The sequence below is a fragment of the Homo sapiens genome, chromosome 22, assembly GCF_000001405.40.
Source record: "Homo sapiens chromosome 22, GRCh38.p14 Primary Assembly".
In the NCBI taxonomy this organism is placed as follows: domain Eukaryota; kingdom Metazoa; phylum Chordata; class Mammalia; order Primates; family Hominidae; genus Homo; species Homo sapiens.
The window spans coordinates 39,334,385-39,353,585 of NC_000022.11; the positions used below are offsets into that span (position 1 = coordinate 39,334,385).

Genomic DNA, 19,201 nt, shown 5'->3' on the forward strand with positions numbered 1-19,201 from the left:
CAGACATTTGTAAAACATAATCATGCTTAAGAAACCAGGGAAAGGAGTAACAGTAAAATAATTTGTCTTTCTCTCTTTTTTTTCCTTCAACTTTGCTCTGGAGGGGAGGTGTCTGGAGCCCACTCCTTTGGCCTTGACTTCTCAAACAGTGTTATCATATAACTGTCCTTGAAGTGAGCTTGCTGTACTTTCCTTTGCTAGACAGAGGAAAACTTGTTATTTTCCTTTTAACCCTTGCCTTGCCTGTTACTTTTCTTAGAGTGAATGAATGCATATTTATTTTTAAATTTCTGCCTCAGTGGTATTGTTATGGGAAAGGGGTCCAGATCCAGGCCCCAAGAGAGGGTTCTTGGATCTTGCGCAAGAAAGAATTCAGGGTGAGTCCATAGAGTAAGGTGAAAGCAAGTTTATTAAGAAAGTAGAGGAATGGGCCGGGTGCAGAGGCTGACGCCTGTAATCCCAGCACTTTGGGAGGCCGAGGTGGGCGGATCACGAGGTCAGGAGATCGAGACCATCCCGGCTAACACAGTGAAACCCCATCTCTACTAAAAATATGAAAAATTAGCCAGGAGTGGTGGCGGGCGCCTGTAGTCCCAGCTACTCAGGAGGCTGAGGCAGGAGAATGGCCAGAACCCGGGAGGCAGAGCTTGCAGTGAGCCGAGATCACACCACTGCACTCCAGCCTGGGCGACCAAGCGAGACTCCTTCTCAAAAAAAAAAAAAGAAAGAAAGAAAGTAGAGGAATAACAGAATAGCTACACCATAGACAGAGTAGGGCTGCTGATTGCCCATTTTTATGGTTATTTCTTAATTATATGCTAAACAAGGGGTAGATTATTCATGCCTCCCCTTTTTAAATTTTTTTTTATTTTTTACTTTTTATTTATTTATTTAAGATGGAGTTTTGCTCTTTCACCCAGGCTGGAGTGAAATGGCACAATCTCGGCTCACTGCAACCTCCACCCTCCGGGTTCAAGCGATTCTCCTGCCTCAGCCTCCCGAGTAGCTGGCATCATAGGCACCGGCCGCCATTCCTGGCTAATTTTTGTATTTTTATTTATTTGTTCTTTTTGAGACAGAGTTTCGCTCTTGTTCCCCAGGCTGGAGTGCAGTGGTGCAATCTCAGCTCACCGCAACCTCCGCCTCCGGGGTTCACGCCATTCTCCTGCCTCAGCCTCCCGAGTAGCTGGGACTACAGGTGCACGCCACCACGCCTGGCTAATTTTTTGTGTTTTTAGTAGAGACGGGGTTTCACTGTGTTAGCCAGGATGTTCTTGATATCCTGACCTCGTGATCCGCCTGCGTCAGCCTCCCAAAGTGCTGGGATTACAAGCATGAGCCACCGCGCCTGGTCAAATTTATTTATTTATTTATTTATTTATTTTTGTGTTGTTTTTTGAGATAGAGTCTCACCCTGGAGTGCAGTGGCGTGAGGTCAGCTCACTGCAACTTCTGCCTCCCAGGTTCAAGCAATTCTCCTGCCTCAGCCTCCCACGTAGCTGGGATTACAGGTGCACACCACCATGCCAGGCTAATTTTTGTATTTTTAGTAGAGACAGACTTTCACCGTGTTGGCCAGGCTGGTCTTGAACTCCTGACCTCAGCTGATCTACCCACCTCTGCCTCCCAAAGTGCTGGGATTATAGGCATGAGCCACTGGGCCCAGCGAACAAATTTAACATAACTGAAAATACATAAATAATGTTTTCCTACCAAATGTTAAAGCACCAGTTCTCAGAGTGTGGGTTGCAGACTCCTAGGGTTCCTGAGATACTTTCAAGCGAACTGCAAAGTCAAAATTATCTTCACAATAATACCAAGATATTATTTGTCTTTTTCCCTGTGTTGACATTTAAACTAATGATGCAAAATAATTGTAGATAAAATTTCTGGCTCCATAGTATGACAAGGCAGTGGCACAAACTACGTATGTGGTCATTATATGCTTCACCTCCCTGCTCTAAAAGTAAAACAAACAAACAAACAAAAAACAGTTTTACTTAAGAATGTCCTTGAGGCCAGGCGCAGTGGGTCACACCTGTAATCTGTAATCCCAATCCATTGGGAGGCCAAGGCAGAAGGCTCACTTAAGGGCAGGATAGCAGTCTGGTCAACATAGTGAGACTCTGCCTCTACAAAAATATTAAGAAATAAAAATTTAAAAATTAACCAGGCACAGTGGCACGTGCCTGTGGTCCCAGCTACTCAGGTGGCTGAGGCGAGAGGATCGATTGAGCCCAGGAGGTTGAGGCTGCAGTGAGCTGTGATAACACCATTGCACTCCAGCCTGGGTGACAGAACGAGACCTGACTCTAAGAACAAAAAGAAAAAAAAAGTTACAATGGAGAAAATTTTAAAACCACAGTTTGGCTATCAGTTGTTCTTTCAAATAAAAATGATGTTACATTTGGCTGAGCGCAGTGGCTCACACCTATAATCCCAGATACTGTGCCTGTGGTCCCAGATACTTGGGAGCCGAGGCAGGAGGATCACTTGAGCCCAGGGAGGTCGTGGCTACAGTGAGCTGTGATTGTGCCACTGCACTCCAGCCTGGGCAACAGAGCGAGACTCTGTCTCAAAAAAAAAAAAAAAAGCCTGGCATGGTGGCATGTACCTGTAATCCCAGCTACCAAGGAGGCTGAGGCAGGAGAATCACTTGAACCCGGGAGGTGGAGGTTGCAGTGAGCCGAGATTGTGCCACTGCACTCTAGTCTGGGAGACAGAGTAAGATCCATCTCAAAAAAAAAGACCCGTTCCCAAGGTTGATATTTAAGTAATAATTTTTATTGTTATATCAAGGACATCACCTCCATTTAATTTTTAATTTTTCTTTTTTATTTTTTTAACACACAGGTCCTTGCTTTGTCACCCAGGCTGGAGTGCAGTGGTGCAAACACAGCTGACAGCAACCTCAAACCCTGGGCTCAAGCAATCCTTCCACCTCAGCTTCCCAAGAAGCTGGGACTACAGGCATGTGACACCATGCCCAGCTAATTTTTTTTTTTTTTACTTTTAAAAATTTTTTGTAGAAATGGGAGTCTCACTATATTGCTTAGGCTGGTCTCAAATTCTTGGGCTTAAGCAATCCTCCTGCCTCGGCCTCCCAAAGTTGTGGGATTATAGGTGTGACCACTGCAGCCAGCCTTAATTTCTAATATGGTAAGTATTAATAGCATTTTGGGGATGCTCAATAATTTTCTTCTTCTTTTTTTTTTTTTTTTGAGATGGGGTCTAGCACTGTCACCTAGACTGGAGTGCAATGGCGCGATTTCAGTTCACTGCAACCTCTGCCTCCTGGGTTCAAGAGATTCTCGTGCCTCAGCCTCCTGAGTAGCTGGGACTACAGGCACCCGCCACCACATCCGGCTAATTTTTTGTATTTTTAGTAGAGATAGGGTTTCGCTATGTTGGCCAGGCTGGTCTCAAACTCCTGACCTCGTGATCCGACTGCCTCAGCCTCCCAAAGTGCTGGGATTACAGGTGTGAGCCACCACACTCGGCAATAATTTTTTAAGGTATAAAAATGTCCAGAGACCAAAAAGGTCAAGAACCACTGCTTTAAATACATAAATGATATCAAACTATTTATATTATTTCAAAATTACTTTTAAAAAAATTCAACACAGAGCATAAGCTCCATGAAGCAGAGGTTTTTCTTTTTGTTTTATTCATTATGGAAACTAAGTCCCTAGAACAATGCCTGGAACATAGTGGGTGTTCAATAAATACTGATTGAATGAATAAAGAATTATATTTTGGGTTTTACCCATTCTGATACGTGGACCTCAAACTCATTCTGCTGTTCAGTATTCTATTATTCCTGAAGATGAAAATATCACAATAACAATTCTATTAATGAACATTTGTTCATAATTTTTCATGGACATTTTTATACACAGGTAAGAGTTTCTCCAGGGTATATACCTAAGAATGAAACTGTAGTAAATAAATCTGGCCAGGCACGGTGGCTCATGCCTGTAATCCCAGCACTTTGGGAGGCCGAGGCAAGTGGATCACAAGGTCAGGGGATCAAGACCATCCTGGCCAACATGGTGAAACCCTGTCTCTACTAAAAATACAAAAATTAGCCAGGTGTGGGGGCGTGTGCCTGTAGTCCCAGCTACTCAGGAGGCTGAGGCAGGAGAATCGTTTGAACCCAGGAGGTGGAGGTTGCAGTGAGCCAAGATCGCACCACTGCACTCCAGCCTGGGTGACAGAGCAAGACTCCATCTCACAAACCAAAAAGAAAAAAAAAAACACTAGTCTTCATGTTGTTCTGTTCCACCAGCAGAGTTTGAAAGTTTCTCTTGCTCTACAGCCTCAGAATCTAGCATTTTCACCCATATGGTGGGTATAAAATGGTATCTCATGATGGTTTTATTTTTTATTTGCCTGGCTACTAATAAGATTGAACACTTTGTCATGTGTTTACTGGCCATTCTTAGGCCCTCAGTTCTGAAATGCCTGTTCATTGGCCAGGCACGGTGGCTCACGCCTGTAATCCCAGCACTTCGGGAGGCCAAGGCAGGCAGATTACTTGACGACCGGAGTTTGAGACCAGCCTGACCAATATGGTGAAACCCTGTCTCTACTAAAAAAAAAAAAAAAAAAAAAATACAAAAATTAGCCGGATGTGGTGGCGGGTGCTTGTAGTCCCTGCTAGTCAGGAGGCTGAGACAGGAGAATTGCCTGAACCCGGAGGCAGAGGTTGCAGTGAGCCGAGATCGTGCCACTGCACTCCAGCCTGGGTGACAGAGAGAGAGCCTGTCTTAAAAACAGCAACAACGAAAAGATTTGCACTCAATTTTATGTCTTCTCTATTCTCTATCACGTGACCCTTCCTTATCCCCAAATCATAAAAATATTCTATTATTCCCCCTCCTTCTCTCTCTTCTTTCCTTTCTCTCTTTCTTTGTTCACAGTAACGTATCTCAAGGCATTACATCATTCTGATTACCCAGCTCATTCTTCAGCTCTACCCATCTTACCGTTTTCTCCTCCTACTGCATTCTTTATTTCAATGTTTATATTTTCCATTCTTAGTATTTCTACTTGATTCTCTTTTATTATTTCATGTTCATTTATTTATTTATTTATTTATTTATTTATTTATAGACAGAGTCTTGCTCTGTTGCCCAGGCTGGAGTGCAATGGAGTGGTCTCAGCTCACTGCAACCTCCATCTCCTGGGTTCAAGCAATTCTCCTGCCTGAGTAGCTGGGACTCCTCCTGAGTAGCTGGGACTGCAGGTGCCCGCCACCATGCCCAGCTAATTTTTTTTATTTTCTTTTTTTGTTTTTTTGAGACAAAGTCTCACTCTGTTGCCCAGGCTGGAGTGCAGTGGCACGAACTCGGCTCACTGCAACCTCCGCCTCCCGGGTTCAAGTGATTCTCCTGCCTCAGCCTCCCAAGTAGCTGGGATTACGGGTGCGTGCCACCACACCCGGCTACTTTTTTGTATTTTTAGTAGTGACGGGGTTTCACCATGTTGGCCAAGCTGGTCTTGAACTCCTGACCTCAGGTAATCTGCCTGCCTTGGCCTCCCAGAGTGCTGGGATTATGGGCATGAGCCACTGCGCCTGGCCTTCTCTATTTGTTTAAAAAGGAATGTTTTTAATGTTTCCGTTGAGCATACTCATTCTGCAGGAATTTTGTAGATAATCTTTATTAAGCTGAGGATTTTTTTTAGCATAGTAAGAGCTTTGATATTGAGTGTACTGATTTTACTACGTACTTTTACTGCATTTACTAAGATCATCATATAGTTTTTCCCTTCTAATCTATTCATATGATAAATTATATTTATAGATTTCCTAATAATGAACCCAACTGCATTTCTAGGATAAACCCAATTTGTTTATAATGTATTATATTTTTATACATTCCAGGATTAAGTTTGTTAATATTTCCTCAGCATGGTTTGCACTGACATTCATGAGTGAGATTGGTCTGAACTTTTTCTTAAACTAGGATAAAAGTAGGAAAATATTCCCTCCTTTTTTTTGAAACAGGGGTCTCACTTTGTTGTTTAGGCTGGTTTCAAACTCCTGGGCTCAACTGATCCTCCCGCCTCGGCCTCCCAAAGTGCTGGGATTACAGGCATCCACCATGCCATGCCGAGGCTATTAAAATTTCAAGGTACTAGGGAGCAACAGTTGTTAGGGAAGCTGTGCCTTCAGGGCTCACTCATTTCTCTGGGTTCATGCCTTCCTTCCTTTTTGTGCTTTTTGTTGTCCATTCATTTTTCTCCCCTAGCATTTAAAGTTTTCAGCTATCTAGACTTCCATATGGCTAGTCTTGTTCTTTTTTTTTTTTCCTTCATAAAGATTCTTTCTTTGAGGATTCCAAACATTTATTTTAGTCTTTTATCTTTCTATAAATTCATCTCATCTGCAGTTACTTCATTTTCTTTTTCTTTTTTCTTTTCTTTTTTTTTTTTTTTTTGAGGCGGAGTTTTACTCTGTCACCCAGGTTGGAGTCCAGTGGCGCAGTCTTGGCTCACTGCAACCTCAGCCTCCTGGGTTCAAGCGATTCTCCTGCCTCAGGCTTCTGAGTTGCTGGGACTACAGGTGCCTGCCACCACGCCCGGCTAATTTTTGTATTTTTAGTAGAGATGGGGTTTCATCATGTTGGCCAGGCTGGTCTCAAACTCCTGACCCCAGGTGATCCGCCCACCTCAGCCTCCCAAAGTGCTGGGATTACAGGCGTTAGCCACCACACCAGGCCTGCAGTTACTTCATTTTCTGCTTGTTGTGATTGGTGAATTTGCTGCCTCTCAATTTCAACAAGGCTTCTGAAGTTTGGGTTGCAGCCTCATTTGCAATGGGAGGGTTTTGTTTTTCTTTATCCTTTCCCTTCCCTGTGTGCTCACCCTCCCTCTCCAGCAGAGCTACTCCTGCTTCCACCAGCCTTCCAGAAACCCATCTCACAATGATGTCTAGGGCCCCTTCCCATGGACACATTGGGGACACTGCAGCCTCAGTGGCAGATTCAGAGGGAGGTTTGTTTCAGCACCCTGTGGGCCGCCGAAATCTGTCCTTCCCTCCCTGAACCAAGCACTTTGTCTAAGTCAGAGTCCCAGGCAGAGATCCCCTGCAGTTTTATTTTTTGCTTCCATTCCCAATAGTGGAGCGCCACCCCTGTTGCTGGCTTCAGGCAGGAGGCTGACTTGGCTTCTGTCTCTTGTGGAGCATTTTAATCTCATTACCCTAAAAAAGGAAGATTTGGTGGCTGTGTGGACCCCGTGCCCAAGTGCCCATGGCTCCATGGCTTCAGCTTTCCGCTCCACAGAGTTGCTCATTTTTGAGCATGGCTTGGTCTGTTTAGTTTTGCCTTATGTTTTATCTGCAATTGCTTTGGGTAAGATGCAGACATTTCTGTTGAGTTATTAGGCTTGGTATGTATTCCATTGCAAATGACAAATTACTTTAACACTTAGTGGCTCAAAACAACAGTCATTATATATACATACATATATATATATATATATACACATACATACATACACACACACACACACACACACACACACACACACACACATATATATATATATTTTTTTTTTTTAAGGCAGAGTCTCACTCTGTCTTAAGGCTGGAGTGCAGTGTCGTGATCTCGGCTCACTGCAACCTCCGCCTCCCAGGTTCTAGCAATTCTCCTGTCTCAGCCTCCTGAGTAGCTGGGACTACAGGTCCCACCACCACGCCCAGCTAATTTTTTGTATTTTTAGTAGAGACAGGGTTTCACCATATTGGCCAGGCTGGTCTCAAACTCCTGACCTCAAATGATCCACTGGCTTCAGCCTCCCAAAGTGCTGGGATTACAGGCATAAGCCACCGTGCCTGGCCTGTATATTATATGATATGATATTCTATTCTATTATAGTCATGATGGGCTTCATTTGGGGAAGGCTCAGCTGGGTGATTCTTATTTTCAAAGTGGCATCAACTGAGGTCACTTTTTGGTATTCAGTTGGTTACACGAGTTAGTCCGGGGAGCTCAAGATGCTGGTGGTGATGGCTAGAAGGCTGGAATCCACTGGGCCTCCTGGCTAGAGTATTTACATGAGGTCTTGGTGGTCTCAAGATTTCTTTCATGACAGCTCAGGACTGAGAGTGTTCCAAGAGATGAAAATGGAAAGCAAATATTTTCTTAAAGCCTGGGCCAGGAAAATGGCCCAATGTTGCTCTGTTAATCACAAGCCTCCCCATATGCAAAGAGAGGAGTTTCAAGGAATTTGTGGCCATATTTCACCTGCTACCCTTGCTTATTATTATCCCCCCACCCGCGCCCAGGACTTTGAGATCCTTTAGGGCAGAGATCATGTTTAATGTCACTGTTGGATCCCAAGGGTCTTCAACGACCTGGCTCACAGTGATGTTACATAGGCTTGCCGCCAACTAGATCCCGTGTGTACTCCCTTCATCCCTTCTTTGAAAAAAGAATAGGATTGCTGGGTCAAATGGCACATTCTTCAGTCAATTGAAACACACTACCAAGCAGCTCTCCAACTAGGTACCTCTGGTCAATGTTTATTATTATTATTTTTGTTTGTTTGTTTGTTTCTTTGTTTGAGAGGGAGTCTCGCTCTGTCGCCCAGGCTGGAGTGCAGTAGTACAATCTCGGCTCACTGCAACCTCCGCCTCCCAGGTTCAAGTGATTCTCTTGCCTCAGCCTCCCAAGTAGCTGGGACTACAGGTGCGCACCACCACACCCAGCTAATTTTTGTATTTTTAATAGAGATGGGGTTTCACCATATTGGCTAGGCTGGTCTTGAACTCCTGACCTCAGGTGATCTGCCCACGTCGGCTTCCCAAAGTGTTGGGATTACAGGCATGAGCCATCATGCCCAGCCCCACTGGTCAATTTTTAAGATTATCTTTATGCTGAGTGTGGTGGCTTACTCCTCTAATCCCAGCACTTTGGGAGGCTGAAGAGGGCGAATTCCTTGAGCTCAGGAATTCAAGACCAGCCTAGGCAACATGGCAAGACCCCAACTCTACAAAAAATAAAAAGAAAAAAATTAGCTGGGTGTAGTGGCACACACCTGTAGTCCCAGCTACTTGGGAGACAGAGGTGGGAGGATCCCTAGAGCCCAGAAGGTTGGGGCTCCATTGAGCCGTGATCGCACCACTGCACTCCAGTCTGGGCGACATCGAGATCTGGTCTCAAAAAAAAGAAAAGAAAAAGATTATAATCATGCTGCGGCTCATGCACTGAAATACGGTGAATGCATCTCCCTTCTGTTCACGCAACTCCAACTTCACATACAGAAAACAGAACTAGCACCTTGGCTGCCAAACCAGCCTCAAGAGGGCAGGAGAGAGGGAGCAAACGCCCATTGCATTTCAGCTGGGGCTAGGAATTCGAACTACCGGGCATGGTGCAGGCAGCTCTGTGTTTGCAAAAGCTTGTCCTGCAAAGACCAGCCTGACTTTCTCGTTTGGCCTCAACACTAACACAGAACACATAAATCCAGATGGTAGAGGAGGATGTTTCTACAATTTGCAATGACGTAAAGTATATTTATATACTTCGCAATGGTATAAAGTAGAGGTTCATGGGTGAGCCTGAGAACCTACCCACCATTCATAGCTTTGTGTTTCTAAGAAAATGCCTACATACCTTGTTATACTGTTAAATTAAAAAATATTCAACGATATGGGTTAAAGCATGATGAGAAAGACTGCGCAAGACCATCGTTATAGACACGGGAACCACTGCAATGAAGTCTTGCAATGGGAGCGAGAGATTGGGCTTAACTCCAAACATGGCCAAGTGTGGGGGCCAATGGATGGAAAATTACTAAGAGGAAGCATCCGTGGTAAGGCGGATTCTGGCTAAACTGACCTAACGGGATTCTTGCTGAAGACAAGCCCCGGTAATCAGACATCACCAGGAGTGGAGGATGAGAAACCTGATCAGATATAGAGGTGATCCCATGTGGGGGATGAGGGGTTCTTGCTAAACTGACTTAGGAGGGTTCTTTGCTAAAACTGGATTTTACAAGGAAGTGCATAGGGGGGCTTAATAGAAGATCCAGAAGCCTGACTAAAGTTTGGCAATGCAAAGAATCTTTGTCAGTACATACCCACCTTGAAAACCAATCTTTGTCAGTACATACCCACCTTGAAAACCAACTATGATGGTGCAGCTAATAACATTTACTGATCCCATTCTTTGTATCAGGCACCATTCTAAGCATCTCTTACGCATTCTCTCAGTTAATCTCGACAATAATCCTCCAAGGTAGGTACTATGCTTATTTCTGTTTTCCAGATGAGGGAATGGGCTCAAAAAAGTGAAGCCATTTGTCCAAGGTTACACAGTGAGTCAGGATAAGGGAAGCCAAGGCTTCTATCCGTCCCCCCAAAATATTTGAATCTGAAATTCAGGATGCTAAACACCATGCTTTCTGAGATTTAATGTATTAGTATGATCAAATCTTAGGGGCAGAGGGTTAGGGACACTCCAGTTATTCAGCCATATACCCCTATGACTAAGACAAAGCCTAATGTAGGGTGGACTTCAAATGAAGGTTTATTGAATTAATAAATGAAGGAGGCTGGGCGTGGTGGCTAACACCTGTAATCCCAGCACATTGGGAAGCCGAGGCAGGTGGATCATGAGGTCAGGAGCTCGAGACCAGTCTGGCCAAAATAGTGAAACCCTGTCTCTACTAAAAATGCAAAAAATTAGCCAGGTGTGGTGGTGTGCGCCTGTAATCCCAACTACTCAGGAGGCTGAGGCAGGAGAATCGTGTGAACCTGCGAGGCAGAGGTTGCGGTGAGCTGAGATTGTGCCATTGCACTCCAGCCCGGGCAACAGTGTGAGACGCCATCTCAAAAAATTAATAAATAAATAAATGGAGGAATATTGTCACTGAAAGACCAGCCTGAGCAACATAGCGAGACTTCATCTCTACAAAGAAAAAAAAAATTAAGTAAGCTCAGTGGCATGAGGGCACAAGTCTGTAGTCCCAGCTACTGGGGAAGCTGAGGCAGGAAGATGGCTTGAGCCCAGGAGTTCAAGGCTTCAGTGAGCTATGATTGCGTCACTGCACTCCAGCCTGGACAACAGAGCAAGACCCTGTCTCCAAAAAAAAAAGGTGTAACTTAATGCAGTGAAAATCACCTCTTGTATGGATAGTTCTGCAAGGTTTTTTTCTTTGTTTGTTTGTTTGTTTGGAGACAGAATCTCACTCAGTCACCCAGGCTGGAGTGCAGTGGCGCAATTTCGGCTCACTACAACCTCTGCCTCCCGGTCAGTTCAGGCGATTCTTGTGCCTCAGCCTCCTGAGTAGCTGGAATTATAGGCACACACTACCATGCCTGGCTAATTTTTGTATTTTTGGTAGAGATAGGGTTTCACCATGTTGGTGAGGCTAGTCTCCAACTCCTGGCCTCAAGTGATTTACCTGCCTTGGCCTCCCAAAGTGCTGGGATTACAGGCGTGAGCCACTGCACCTGGCCTGTTCTGCAAGTTTTGATAAACAATTTTGTTTTTGAGACGGAGTCTTGCTCTGTTGCCAGGCTGGAGTGCAGTGGCGTGATCTCAGCTCACTGCAACCTCTGCCTCCTGGGTTCAAGTGATTCCCCTGTCTCAGCCTCCCGAGTAGCTGGGACTACAGGCGTATGCCACCACGCCCAGCTAATTTTTTTTTTTTTTTTTTTTGAGACGGAGTCTCACTCTTTCACCTGGGCTGGAATGCAGTGGCTCGATCTTGGCTGACTGCAACCTCCGCCTCCCAGGTTCAAGCAATTCTCCTGCCTCAGCCTCCCGAGTAGCTGGGATTACAGGCCAGGCTGGTCTTGAACTCCTGACCTCGTGATTCGCCTGCCTCAGCCTCCCAAAGTGCTGGGATTACAGGCTTAAGTCACCATGCCCGGCCACTAATTTTTTGTATTTTAGTAGAGACGGGGTTTCACCATGTTGGCCAGGATGGTCTCAATCTCCTGACCTTGTGATCCGCTCACCTTGGCCTCCCAAAGTGCTGGGATTACAGTCATGAGCCACAGCGCCCAGCTGACAAACATTTTTTATTTTATTAATAAAACATGTTTTATTAATAAAATAAATTAACAATTGTATTAATTATGTAACCATTCCCATAAACAAGATATGGAATGATTCTATCATGCCTCCAGATTTCCCCGTGCCTCTTAGTAGTAACTCTCTGCCCACCAATCCCCTGGCAACCACTGATCTTTTTTTTGTCCTTAACAGTTTTGCCTTTGCAAAAATGTCACATAAAGGGAATCCTGCAGTCTCTAGACATTTGAGTCTGGCATCTTTCACTTTGCATAATACACTTGAGGGTCACCCATATTGTTGAGTGTATCCACTGTTCATTGCTTTTTATTCCTGAGTAGTGTTTATTCCTGAGTAGTGCACAGTTTATACCCTCCCAACTTGAGGAGCATTTAGGTTGTTTCCACGTTTGGGTTATTACGAATAAAACTGCTCCAAATATTTCTGTTCAGGGTTGGGCTCGGTGGCTCATGCCTGTAATCCCAACACTTTGGGAGGCCGAGGCAGGCGGATCACCTGAGGTCAGGAGTTCAAGACCAGCCTGGCCAACATGGTGAAACCCCGTCTCTACTAAAAATACAAAAATTAGCCCGGCATGGCAGCGGGCACCTGTAATCCCAGTTACTCATGAGACTGAGGCAGGAGAATCACTTGAACCCAGGAGGCAGAGGTTGCAGTGAGCCAAGATCGCACCACTGCACTCCAGCCTGGGTGACATAGCAAGACTCCGTCTCAAAAATAAATAAATAAAGAAAGAAAAGAAATAAAACTTCTGTACAGGTTTTTCTGTGAGTAAACTTTTCACTTTTTTTTTTTTTTTTTGACACTGTCGCCCAGGCTGGAGTGCAGTGGTGCCATCTCGGCTCACCGCAACCTCCACCTTCTGGGTTCAAGTGATTATTCTCCTGCCTCAGCCTCCCGAGTAGCTGGGATTACAGGCACCCACCACCACGCCCGGCTAATTTTTTTTGTATTTTTAGTAGAGACTGGGTTTCTCCATGTTGGCCAGTCTGTTCTTGAACTCCTGACCTCAAGCAATCCACCGCCTCAGCCTCCCAAAGTGCTGGGATTACAGACGTAAACCACCGTGCCCAGCCTAGCCATATTAATAGATGTGTAGAAGTATCTCATTCTAATTTTAATTTGTACTTCTCTCTCTCTCTTTTTTTTTTCTTTTAACAGTCTCACTTGGTTGCCCAGGCTGAAGTGCATTGGTGCAATCCTGGCTCACTGCAGCCTTGAATTCCTGGGCTCAAGCAATCCTCCAGCCTCAGCTTCCCAAGCAGCTGGGGTCACAGGTACACACCACATCACACCCAGCTTGTATTTCTGACTAATGATGTTGGGCATCTTTTCTTTTCTTTCTTTCTTTCTTTTTTTTTTTTTTTTTTTTTTTTTGAGACAGAGTCTCGTTCTGTCGCCCAGGCTGGAGTGCAGTGGCGCGATCTCGGCTCACTGCAAGCTCCGCCTCCCGGGTTCACGCCATTCTCCTGCTTCAGCCTCCCGAGTAGCTGGGACTACAGCCACTACACCCGGCTAATTTTTTTTTTTTTTTTTTTGTATTTTTACTAGAGATGAGGTTTCACCGTGTTAGCCAGGATGGTCTCAATCTCCTGACCTCATGATCTGCCCGTCTCGGCCTCCCAAAGTGCTGGGATTATAGGCGTGAGCCACCGCGGATGCTGGGCATCTTTTTATGTGCTGAGTTGCCGTGTGTATATCTTCTTTGGTGAGGTGTATAACTATTCAAATCTTTTGCCCATTTTTTAAAAAGTGGGTCCTCTTATTATTATTGAGTTCGAACGTTCTTTATTTGGGATGCAAGTTCTTTAGATCTATGCTTTGCAAATATTTTCTCCCAGACTATCGTTTGTCTTTTCATACATTCTTTTAACAATGTCTTTTAAAGAACAGAAGTTCTTAATTTTGATAAAGTCCAGTTTATCAATTGTTTCTTTTATGAATCATGTTCTTCATGATTTTTTTTTTTTTTTTTTTTTTTTGAGACGGAGTCTCGCTCTGTTGCCAGGCTGGAGTGCTGTGGCGCGATCTCGGCTCACTGCAACCTCCACCTCCTGGGTTCAAGTGATTCTCCTGCCTCAGCCTCCCAAGTAGCTGGGACTACAGGAGCTCGCCACCACGCCCGGCTAATTTTTGTATTTTTAGTAGAGACCGGGTTCACCATGTTGGCCAGGATGGTCTCAATCACTTGACCTTGTGATCCATCCACCTTGGCCTCCCAAGGTGCTGGGATTACAGGCGTGAACCACTGCGCCCGGCCTTCTCTTGTGCTTTCTTCTAAAAGTTTTATATAGTCATAGTAGACACCTTATAAGTGTGCTGGATTAAATGTGAAAATGTATGTAAAGCCCTTAGCACAAGGCCTGGTAGAGACTAAACAATCAGCTGAGCCTAAGATGGACATTGACTATGTAATTTTTATAAGGAGCACCCTCAGGCCCAGCACACATTTCCTCCACACAGATGTTGTGTCCTGTCATCACAGAATGGCAGGATACCAGAGAAGCAAAAGCCTCCACCCATATCCTCATCCAACCTGCTCCTGGAACCAGTGAAGGTGACTGCAGACATAGAGAGGCCATAGAGCTACAGGGCAGCAGGAGAGCCAGCCCTGGAAGGTGGCCCTTCCCCTGCAGGGAGCACTCCTCCATCTAGCCTCCGTTTCCATGAAACCTGGAGGTCTAGCCCAAGCTGTGATGGGGTGATGGGGACTAGGCTCTGTTTACTGAGCACCTACTGTATGCTAGGCCCTTGGGTAAGGCATTGAATAAGTTAGACAACACCTGGGCCTCGGGAGCTCACAGACTAGCAGCAGAAGAGGCCATGAACAAATGATTGCGTAATTAATTGCTAGATTCAGGAAAGGGGCAACGTTCTGGGGTAGGAGGGGATGGGGAAGAGGAAGTCTCAGCCGCCGCCTCTGTGCCAGGCCCCTCCAGGCTGGGGGTGGGAGGGTGCGCGGGCACAGGGACACACATGACGTCATCGTAAGAGGCAGGGGAAGGGTGGTCCTGGGAGGTGGGGGCTGCTCTGGAGGGCTGTAAGAGAGGGTCATTCACTCGTGGTTCATTCATTCGAGAAATATTCATGCGGCGCCTACTGCGTACCAAGCACCCTCTAAGAAGGACGAACACAGCTCCTGCCCTCTCATTATATTTGGGGCCGACAAAGTGGCAGGAAACAGCCAAACAAATCAAGCGTGAAGATGGTTTCAGCAGAGCCGACGGCTCAGAGGGGCTGCGACCGGGGCAGGGGACCGGGGATGCGGGGCAGGGACACGGCCCACACTTGCTGTGCACGCACCGCCCTCCCCCAAACACTTTGCAAAGAGGTCACCGCACTGGCTGCGAGCGCGCCCTGAGCCCCGGGCCGCAGCACGCGCGCCCCCGCGCCCGAGGTCGCGCGCTGCCCAGCCCCCCGCCCGCGCCCCGCGAGCTGCGCCCGCCGCGCACGACGCCCCCTCGCGGGAGCCCTGGGCCGCCGGCCGCGCGCGCAGGGGAGGGGGCGGGGGCGCCGCGCACGCGCACGGGCCGGCGGCGCGCGCCGAGCGGGGGGCACCGCGCGGGTGCAGCCACGATGGAAGGGGGTGCGTACGGAGCGGGCAAAGCCGGGGGCGCCTTCGACCCCTACACCCTGGTCCGGCAGCCGCACACCATCCTGCGCGTCGTGTCTTGGGTAAGGACGGACTGGCCGACGGCTCTGCCAGGCCGGGGTGGTGGGGGTGTGAGCAAAGGCGGCGCGCCCGGACCGACCCCGACCCCGACCCCAACGGGCCCCCGGCGGCGGCGCGGCGGCGGGCGAGGAGCTGTCCTGCCTGCGGGGCCCGCTGCCGCCGCTCCTCCTTCCCGGGCCCGGGGCGGGCGGGATCCCTGGTGCTCGCGGGAGACGCCGCTCCGGCTCCCGGAGCCCTGGTTTCCTGGGGCCCCCGGTTCGTGCGCCCCCCTTCCCGCCCCGATTGCTGTGACCTCCAGGCCGCGGCTATGCCGCGAAAGGCTCGGATTGTGCGCGGCCGCCAGGGCGGACTGGGGACCGTGGGGACGGAGCCAGGGTTTAAGGTGGCCTTTTTTGGGGGGTGGATCAGGGCGTGGACCATCTCGGTGGGGTGCATGCCGCGCCTGCGATGGACGTTGGAGGAGGAGAGGGCCGGGAACCGGGTTCGTATTGCCTAGCCCGGCCCGTGTGGAGCGATGAGTCGGGAACTGAGTACCTCTCTTCCACCCGGGAACTGCCTCTCCTTCTCTGCGTGACCTTGGGCTGGGAGCCACCCAGGAAATGTTCTCGAGAAATGAGGACTTCAATTCCGAGGTGGGGAGTGTCATCTCCTCTCTCATGCCTCAGTTTCCCAATTTATAGACAAGGTGGGCGGAGCCTTCTTGAGGCCCCCTTGGGCTCTGACATTTCATGAACCGGTAACACCCCTCCCACTCAGCATGCACCTGGATGCCCAAGGCGGGTGTCTGGGAGAAAGGTCTGCTCCCACAGTGAAGAGGCCAGGGTGGCCTCCAGCCTAGCTGGGGGGCAGGGTCCTCAGTGCAGAGGGCTGAGTGGGCTCTTGTTCAGACGGGTGGTCAGGGAGAGGATGGGTCAGAGACAGTGAGCACAGAGGGAGGGGTTCAGGTGCCTTGAGTGGCACCTCATGGAAAGAAGCCCTGCTGGGGTCTGGAGAGGGGGTTTCTGGGGCTCCCTGGGTTTGGCTGGCTGTATCCCAGAAACTCCCACTCGAGGTTCTGGCCTCTGCAGGCCTGGGGCCCGTTCCTTGTGGGCTTAGACTAGGAATGGGCTAGACTGTCAGGGACCCCAGGGGCTACCCCAAGGCCAGCTGTGACCTCAGGGTGCCCAAGCTTCCTCCTTTCCTTGGTTTTCAGGGTCTGGTTGGTAGGATGGCTTGGGTATGTATCCCTGGTCTGCGAAGGATGACCCCATTTAAAGCCTTTTCTTCTCAAATGCCGTCAGATGGGAGCTGTTTGAGGGCAGGAAAGCCCAGTTCCTTTAACCCTTGTGTCGGTGCCTGCACAGAGCCGGGCACCCCAGCACATCTGTGTTTGTGGCTCTGAATTCATTTATCTGTGCCAGTCTCCTGCTCCCCAGATGCCCCAACAGACCCTTGCCAAAGGTGGGAGCCCTGGGGGGCACCTGCCGGATCAGGCGGGTGGGCTGCGTTCACTGCTTTAGTCTGCCCACCCCTGGGCCTCTGGCCTGGAAGGGCGAAGCCACTGGCTTTGTGAGGGGGCTTGTCTGCTTGGGTCATTTCTGCCTCTGATGCCTTCATTTAGCAAAGCTTTATTGAATCTGCTGGGCCCCAAGGGAAGGCAGCGTGACTCAGAAGCAGCCCTTGTTCTCGGGAAGCCACAGTCCCACTGGGGAGTGAGCCAGGTGCCCCCAGGCAGAGGCCGCAAGAGCCAGGAGAGGGGTCTCCCTGCTGTGGAATCAAATTTCATGGTGAAGGTGATGTCAGATTGGGCCTGGTGGGATGAGGGTTTATACATATGCACATCCAGGGGAGAGGACGTGGAAAGCAGGAGGAAGGATCAGCCCCTCTGAGCACCCATGGGGTGCAAGACCACACACAGCTACCTAGCTGGTTCCCCAACACTAGAGGAAGCTGCGGCTCAGCGAGCGAGGCCAAGTGCCTGGCCCAAAGTCACTAAGCATGTAAGTGGCAGACGAGCATTTGAGCCTAGGTCTTCCTGTCTCCAAAGAGTAGTTCTCCCCCTGGGGCAGGGAAGAATCCAGAATCCTGGAATGTCAGGATTGGAAAGGACACAAAGGTCACCTGGACCAACCAATGCTCAAACGACCCCACAGCCTCCCAGTCCTGCTCACACACGTGGATACAAGGCGCTCACTACCTTTGTCGAACCAAGAGGTGTCTGATACAGGCTGATTGACACCTTTAAAAGTAGCTTTTTTTCCTGATCAGAGTAATACCTGCCAATTATTGGAAAGTATAAAAATCACATGTGATGGTTGCACGGTAGGAATGTACTTAACACCACTGAAATGGTGAAGATGGTAAATTGTATGTTACGTGTGTTTTACCACAACAGAAAAAGTTTGGTGGGGGGTGGTAATCATGTGATACCACCACTTAGGGAGGGCTGCAGTGAATAGGGTGCTGTCTCCTTCTGGTCTTTTCGAAACTGTGTGGCGTGCTGAGCCATTTAAACACATCAGGAGCTGCGGGGGATGCAGCTGGCGCCTGCTCTTGGCCCTCACACCACAGGGCAGAGCAAGTGAAGCTGAGCTCCAGGACCAGGGTGACCCGTTTATCCTGGTGTGCTGGAACTTCCTGCCTTTAGCATTCTGAGAGGCCCTTAGTCCAGACAAACAGGGACAATTTGTCACCCTGTCCAGGACTCCTGGACAACCCAGACCCCTACCACAGCCCTGGAGGGGCCCTAACAGCATGTGCACATGAACCTGTGATTGTTTTTTTTCTTTTTTTGAGATGGAGTCTTGCTCTGTTGCCCAGGCTGGAGTACAATGGTGCCATCTCGGCTCATTGCAACCTCCGCCTCCCAGGTTCAAGCAACTCTACTGCCTCGGCCTCCCAAGTAGCTGGGACTACAGGCACACACCACCACGCCCAGCTAATTTTTGTATTTTTAGTAGAGATGGGGTTTCACCATGTTAGCCAGGCTGGTCTCGAACTCCTGACCTCAGGTGATCCACCTGCCTTGGCCTCCCAACGTGCTGGGATTACAGGCGTGAGCCACCGCACCCGGCCTGGACCTGGGATTTTTGTAAAATTTGTAAAAGAAAGATTTTTTTTTCTGTTGCTTTTCCAAAAGAGGGCCCCCAAATCATGTAAGCTTCAGGGCCTCACCAACCTGGACCCACCCTGGAACCCAAGCCCTCTGAGCCCCTGGGTCAGCCTGCACAGAAGCAGGGCCTCCAAGACCTGGCTTGTCTCTTTTTTATTTTTTTAGAGACAGGATCTTGCTGTGTTGCCCAGGCTGGTCTCAGACTCCTGGACTCAAGTGATCCTCCCACCTCAGCCTTGTGAGCAGCTGGGACGATGAGGCGAGGCGTGGGCCACTGCATCCGGCATGGCTTGTCTCTTGACTAAGGCTTTCTCACCTCTTGGTGTCATCGCCCCAGTGGCAGATCAGCTGCCACTCCTGGCACCCCCAGGCCACAGCTGTGACCTT

General features: G+C 48.5%; 1 protein-coding gene across 2 annotated transcripts in view, besides 2 other annotated features; it reads left to right on the forward strand.

Moving 5' to 3' along the window:
• The window catches only part of SYNGR1 (synaptogyrin 1), a 35,585-nt gene continuing 31,990 nt past the window's right edge, over positions 15,607–19,201 (forward strand). For both annotated transcript variants that reach the window (NM_004711.5, NM_145731.4), the window contains exon 1: positions 15,607–15,725. In NM_004711.5, the coding sequence (NP_004702.2) occupies positions 15,627–15,725 (99 nt within the window). In that variant the 5' untranslated portion in view covers positions 15,607–15,626. The remainder of the gene's footprint in view (positions 15,726–19,201) is intronic.
• Positions 15,654–15,813: a silencer, noted in NCBI's record as "silent region_13750". NCBI's record gives its function as "represses an Ori minimal core promoter by ATAC-STARR-seq in GM12878 lymphoblastoid cells {active_cell/tissue: GM12878}" and the evidence as "EXISTENCE:reporter gene assay evidence [ECO:0000049][PMID:35858748]".
• Positions 17,037–17,086: an enhancer, noted in NCBI's record as "active region_19045". NCBI's record gives its function as "activates an Ori minimal core promoter by ATAC-STARR-seq in GM12878 lymphoblastoid cells {active_cell/tissue: GM12878}" and the evidence as "EXISTENCE:reporter gene assay evidence [ECO:0000049][PMID:35858748]".